The sequence below is a fragment of the Homo sapiens genome, chromosome 6 (genome assembly GCF_000001405.40).
Source record: "Homo sapiens chromosome 6, GRCh38.p14 Primary Assembly".
NCBI lineage: Eukaryota > Metazoa > Chordata > Mammalia > Primates > Hominidae > Homo > Homo sapiens.
The window spans coordinates 31,856,019-31,863,001 of record NC_000006.12 but is presented as its reverse complement, the minus strand read 5'-3'; the positions used below and the strand labels follow the sequence as shown (position 1 = coordinate 31,863,001).

Genomic DNA, 6,983 nt, shown 5'->3' with positions numbered 1-6,983 from the left:
AGAGGGCCTCCAAGAGGGCCAATCGGAAGGGCAAGCTTCGAGATGCTGCGTGATCACGTGGGAGGAGATGAGCTACTTGAAGACCAATTAGAGTCCGGGAAGCGCGGCGGGGCCTCCAGACCGGGGCGGGCTTAAGGGTGACATCTGCGCTTTAAAGGGTCCGGGTCAGCTGACTCCCGACTCTGTGGAGTCTAGCTGCCAGGGTCGCGGCAGCTGCGGGGAGAGATGACTGGGGAGCGACCCAGCACGGCGCTCCCGGACAGACGCTGGGGGCCGCGGATTCTGGGCTTCTGGGGAGGCTGTAGGGTTTGGGTGTTTGCCGCGATCTTCCTGCTGCTGTCTCTGGCAGCCTCCTGGTCCAAGGCTGAGAACGACTTCGGTCTGGTGAGTCACCCTTTGCATAGCCCCATCCCCGACCCGCGCAGGTGATCGACACCTAGTGTCCCCCGGAACGCGGGCGGCTGAGCCGACTTTCCGCGACAGGACCCTTTTCTTTCTCCCAGACCCCGTTTCCTCCTACCGCTCCCAGCCCCTCTCCCTCTCCGGGTCCCCGTCCTTCTCCTCATTCGAGCCCCTTCCTCTTTTGGGGTCCCCTTCCCTCCCTGAAGGCGCCTTCTCCTTTCGTAGACCCTCCCCTGCTCCGAGCCTCCAGCTTCGCTCCAAACTCCCCTTCGTGTTCCTCTTTCTTGTTCTGGGACCCCATCCCCTACTCGGGATCCCCATTAGATCCTCCCTCTCCCATCGGAACGTGGGTTCCTAAAACCCCCAAGACAAGTTTGTCTTTGTTGACCCTTCCTCCTCCCATGACAGGTGCAGCCGCTGGTGACCATGGAGCAACTGCTGTGGGTGAGCGGGAGACAGATCGGCTCAGTGGACACCTTCCGCATCCCGCTCATCACAGCCACTCCGCGGGGCACTCTTCTCGCCTTTGCTGAGGCGAGGAAAATGTCCTCATCCGATGAGGGGGCCAAGTTCATCGCCCTGCGGAGGTCCATGGACCAGGGTATAAAGATGTCTGGGTGAAAGAGCCGGTGCTAGGTTGGATGGGTGGGCAGCCCAATGAGCCCAAGGGCCCTGAGGATAGGGGAACTTAGAGGGTTGGTTGCCTGAGTCCCTGAGGGGTAGAGGGAACCCGAGAAGGGCAAGTGTCTAGGACAGTGATCTGGAAATTGGGATCACCAAGGAGTTGGACATTCACTTAGCAAACATTTATTGGGTACTATATACCTATACCAGGCACTATTTTAGGTTTCATGAATATAGCCACGAACAAAACAGATCAAAAATCTCTGCCCTCAGGATTTAAATTGTACTGGAAGGAGACAGACAAGCATAATAAACAAGTAAACTTTTTTGTCTGTTGCAAGGTGATAAATGCAATGGAGAAAAATAAAACAGGACAAGAGGTATAGATAGTGCAAGTGTTGGATTGCACCCTGGGACCATCGGAAGGCCTGAGGTCCCTAGCAGAAGGTGGGAAATTAACGGGAAGTGGTAGAAAGGGTACCTGCAGAGTGCTCACTCTGGGTTTCTTCCTCCAATTTTTTTCAGGCAGCACATGGTCTCCTACAGCGTTCATTGTCAATGATGGGGATGTCCCCGATGGGCTGAACCTTGGGGCAGTAGTGAGCGATGTTGAGACAGGAGTAGTATTTCTTTTCTACTCCCTTTGTGCTCACAAGGCCGGCTGCCAGGTGGCCTCTACCATGTTGGTATGGAGCAAGGATGATGGTGTTTCCTGGAGCACACCCCGGAATCTCTCCCTGGATATTGGCACTGAAGTGTTTGCCCCTGGACCGGGCTCTGGTATTCAGGTCTCTGTCCTAGGAGATAGGTGGAGGGGGCTGCCTTGTGGAGAGTCTGAGGGATACCCCCAAATGGACTCCTTTCCAAGGGGAAGATTCTCTGAAGTCAGATTTTCTGGCTTGGGTGGGATTCCTTGAAAGACAGGGCATCCTGGTAGGAACACATTATCAGGAGAAGAGGGAACTCTGCCATTGGCTTCCCATTTGGCATTGTCAACAGGACTGCGTTAGTCCATGCAATACCCTCATGCAAAGTAGAAAAAGGCACTGCCTCTTTGGACAGACACAAGCCTGTGCCAGGGTGCACAGCTTGGCGAGTGAGCACAGGTTGGGTTTAAGCTCTCATGCACCCTGTGGCTGGGCCCCTGGTGCACATGTCCAGCTGTACACCCTGGGAGAGCTTCTTAATTCAAACAGGGTGTGTATTTATGGGATCTGACTGGAACCCTCAGTGAGCAAGGGCTGAACTCAAGGGGACCATACATGTGATTGCATTTGGGAAGTGGTGGGTTCTCTGTCCCTGCCTCTGAGCCCCTAGAGTCTCCTTCTGTGACACCCAGTTCCCTTTCCCACAGAAACAGCGGGAGCCACGGAAGGGCCGCCTCATCGTGTGTGGCCATGGGACGCTGGAGCGGGACGGAGTCTTCTGTCTCCTCAGCGATGATCATGGTGCCTCCTGGCGCTACGGAAGTGGGGTCAGCGGCATCCCCTACGGTCAGCCCAAGCAGGAAAATGATTTCAATCCTGATGAATGCCAGGTCAGGAGTCCATGAGATGTTCCCTACCCATTTGACCCTCCCTGCCCTCCAGAACATCATTTCACGCACAGACCCAGGGTCTGACTGCTCCACTCAGTGCCACACACCCTTGCTCCCCTCGGGGACAGGGCATTTTCCCTGTTCCCTCCCTGAGGTCCTGTCCTCTCCCCTCAGCCCTATGAGCTCCCAGATGGCTCAGTCGTCATCAATGCCCGAAACCAGAACAACTACCACTGCCACTGCCGAATTGTCCTCCGCAGCTATGATGCCTGTGATACACTAAGGCCCCGTGATGTGACCTTCGACCCTGAGCTCGTGGACCCTGTGGTAGCTGCAGGAGCTGTAGTCACCAGCTCCGGCATTGTCTTCTTCTCCAACCCAGCACATCCAGAGTTCCGTGAGTGCCTCATGGGTGGGGTCAGCAGGGAGAGCCCTGTGTCTAGACAAGGCCTGGGCAGAGACCCTCTCTCCCTGACTCTCCTGCTCTCCCCAGGAGTGAACCTGACCCTGCGATGGAGCTTCAGCAATGGTACCTCATGGCGGAAAGAGACAGTCCAGCTATGGCCAGGCCCCAGTGGCTATTCATCCCTGGCAACCCTGGAGGGCAGCATGGATGGAGAGGAGCAGGCCCCCCAGCTCTACGTCCTGTATGAGAAAGGCCGGAACCACTACACAGAGAGCATCTCCGTGGCCAAAATCAGTGTCTATGGGACACTCTGAGCTGTGCCACTGCCACAGGGGTATTCTGCCTTCAGGACTCTGCCTTCAGGAACACGGGTCTGTAGAGGGTCTGCTGGAGACGCCTGAAAGACAGTTCCATCTTCCTTTAGACTCCAGCCTTGGCAAAATCACCTTCCCTTTACCAGGGAAATCACTTCCTTTAGGACTGAAAGCTAGGCGTCCTCTCCCACAAAAAAGTCCTGCCCTCATCTGAGAATACTGTCTTTCCATATGGCTAAGTGTGGCCCCACCACCCTCTCTGCCCTCCCGGGACATTGATTGGTCCTGTCTTGGGCAGGTCTAGTGAGCTGTAGAATTGAATCAATGTGAACTCAGGGAACTGGGGAAGGCTGAGCCTCCTCTTTGGTGTTGCGGTAAGATAACCGACAGGGCTGGTGAAAGTCCCCAGATGGCAGGATATTTGGTTTCAGAGTAAGGACTAGGTGCACCACCATGACTGACTATCAATCAAAATGTTTGTAACTTAAAATTTTTAATGAAGGATAATGAATATTTGTAGAGTCTCTATGGTTCTGTCAATGCACATCTTCGTGTCTGTTTTCCTCATGTATCCTTGTGAGCCTGGGTGAGTTCTGGGGAGAGACCTGATGTGCGTACTGCCTGTGAAAATCTGACTTTGGCAAATCAAATCCTCTTTTCCTTTTGACATGCCCTCTTTTTTTGTTGTTGCTTTTTTTGAGACAGGGCTCGCTCTGTCACCCAGGCTGGAGTGCAGTTGCACAATCACGGCTCACTGAAGCCTCAACCTCCTGGGCTCAAGTGATCCTCACGTCTCAGCCTCCGGAGTAGTTGGGACTACAGGTCAGTGACACCATGCCTGGTTAATTTTTTTAATTTTTATTTTCAGTAGAGACAAGGTTGCGCTATGTTGCCCAGGCTGGTATGGAACTCCTGTGCTTAAGCAATCCTCATGCCTCAGCTTCCCAAAGTGCTGAGGTTACAGCTATGAGCCACCGCACCCAGCCTACATTCCTTCTTATCACCGAGAAACAGGTTGATCTTCACAGGTGTAATGAGTATGAAGGGAGTGCCATAAGATATTTTTTATTTTTTATTTATTTATTTTTTAATTTAATTTTTTTTTTTTTGAGATGGAGTCTTGCTCTGGCACCCAGGCTAGAGTGCAGTGGTGCGATCTCGGCTCACTGCAACCTCTGCCTCCCAGGTTCAAGCGATTCTTCTGCCTCAGCTTCCCGAATAGCTGGGATTACAGGTGCCCACCACCACACCCGGCTAATTTTTGTATTTTTAGTAGAGACGGAGTTTCACCATGTTGGCCAGGCTGGTCTCAAACTCCTGGCCTCAGGTGATCCACCCGCCTCGGCCTCCCAAAGTGTTGTGATTACAAGCATGAGCCATGGTGCCGGCGGGCTGATTTTTTTAATTTTTAGTAGAGACAAAGTCTCACTATATTGCCTAGGTTGGTCTCAAACTGCTGAGCTCAAGCAATCTGCCGGCCATGTTCTCTCAAAGTGCTGGGATTACAGGCTTGAGCCCCTGCACCCAGCCTGTAAGATATTTTAAAATCCACACTTGGCCAAGCGTGGTGGCTCACACATATAATCCCAGCACTTTGGGAGGCCAAGGTGGGCGGATCACAAGGTCAGGAGTTCGAGACCAGCCTGGCCAATATGGTGAAATCCCATCTCTACTAAAAATACAAAAACTAGCCAGGCGTGTTGGCTTACACTTATAGTCCCAGCTACTCAGGTGGCTGAGGCAGGAGAATCACTTGAACCAGGAGGCGGAGTTTGCAGTGAGCTGAGATCACAGCACTGCACACCAGCCTCGGCAACAGAGTGAGACTCCGTCTGAAAAAAAAAAAATCCACGCTGTTTTATATTTCTAACATGGGGTAGGATACCATCCTCCATGAAATAGGGTGCAAGTGTGTGAAATGCAGATGGGAATCCTGTCCCAGCTAGCCTGACAGAGAAGTGAGCACTTCCTATGGCAAATTATGTAAGAAAATATTCCCCAGGCAGATGCTTATGAAAAGAATCTGTTCAGCCTGCAGGTAAGTGGGAGAGCCCTTGCTCAAAAAAAAAAAGAAAAAGAAATAGTGGAAGACAAAAAGGAAAGGACACTATGAATGTCTGACCCATGAACTACTACCTGTTAGAAACAGAAGTGCTGGGAGGCTTGAGAGACAGACACTACCTTCCTGGCTAGGTGTGGTGGCTCAGATCTGTAATGCTAGCACTTCGGGAGACCAAGGCAGGATGATCAAATTAAAGGGCATCCTGGGCAACATGGCAATACCCCATGTCTAAAAAATTTAAAAATTAGCCAAGCATGGTAACGCACACCTATAGTCCTAGCTACATGGGAGGATGGCTTGATCTCTTTGACCCCAGGAGTTCGAGGCAGTAGTGAGCTATGATTGCACCACTGCACACCAACCTAGGTGACAGAGTGAGACCTCATCTCCAAAAAACCAAACCAAAACAAAAAACCTTCAAGAAAGAAAAAAAGCTTGACCTTCCCTCCCTCACTCTTTACAGACCCATGGAATCTGAAGCTCTGGTGTTGGAGCCACCAGGCATTAACAAGCCTTCTGGGTGATTCGTAATACGTTTAAGTTTGAAAACCAGGGTCAGAACTTTTAAACAAGTGCAAGTGTCCAGCTAAAATGAATTATATGTATGTCAAAGTTGCAGAAATAGTTAAAGAACCTTTTTTTTCCAGCTTTTTTTTTTTCTTTTAATACACAGGGAAGGGTCAGGTGCAGTGGCTCACGCCTGTAATCCCAGCACTTTGGGAGGCCGAGGTGGGCGGATCACAAGGTCAGGGGTTCTAGACCAGCCTGGCCAACATGGTAAAACCCCATCTCTACTAAAAATACAAATATTAGCCATATGTGGTGGCACACGCCTGTAGTCCCAGCTACTCGGGAGCCTGAGGCAGGAGACTCACTTGAACCTGGGAGGCAGAGGTTGCAGTGAGCCGAGATTATGCCACTGCCCTCCAGCCTGGGCGACAGAGCAAGACTTCATCTTAAAAAAAAAAAAAATACACAGGAAAGATTGGGACAAGTGGCAGGAGACTGAAAGGGGAAAGAGCTTGTTTGTACTAATGGGACAAAGTGGGCCGACTCTGGGCACACTGCTTATGAGTTAGCTCTACTCTGTGAGGAAATTTTTTTTTTTTTTTTGAGACGGAGTCTTGCTCTGTTGCCCAGGCTGGAGTGCAGTGGCGCAATCTTGGCTCCCCGCAACCTCTGCCTCGCTGGTTCAAGCAATTCCCCTGCCTCAGCCTCCTAAGTAGCTGGGATTACAGGCGCCTGCCACCACGCTCGGCTAATTTTTTGGTATTTTTAGTAGAGACCCGGTTTCACCATGTTGGCCAGACTGGTCTCGAACTCCTGACCTCAGGCAATACTCCCGCCTCGGCCTCCCAAAGTGCCGGGATTACAGGTGTGAGCCACCCCACCCGGCCAAGGAAATATTTAAAAAATAAAATAAAATAAGTTATTTAAAAATTGGGGCAAGTTGGCTGGGCACGGTGGCTCACGCCTGTAATCCTAGCACTTTGGGAGGCTGAGGAAGGGGGATCACTTGAGGTCAGGAGTTCAAGACCAGTCTGGCCAACATGGTGAAACACTGTCTCTACTAAAAATTCAAAAAATTAGCCAGGCATTGTGGCAGGCACCTACAATCCCAGCTACTCAGGAGACTAA

At 51.5% G+C, this 6,983-nt stretch overlaps 1 protein-coding gene across 1 annotated transcript; it reads left to right on the top strand.

The window, feature by feature from the left end:
• Positions 181-5,343, top strand: NEU1 (neuraminidase 1). Its single transcript, NM_000434.4, has 6 exons — positions 181-384; positions 811-1,003; positions 1,552-1,814; positions 2,381-2,563; positions 2,738-2,960; positions 3,057-5,343. Exons 1-6 carry the CDS (start codon positions 226-228, stop codon positions 3,281-3,283), a joined length of 1,248 nt encoding a protein of 415 aa, NP_000425.1. The 5' UTR covers positions 181-225; the 3' UTR covers positions 3,284-5,343.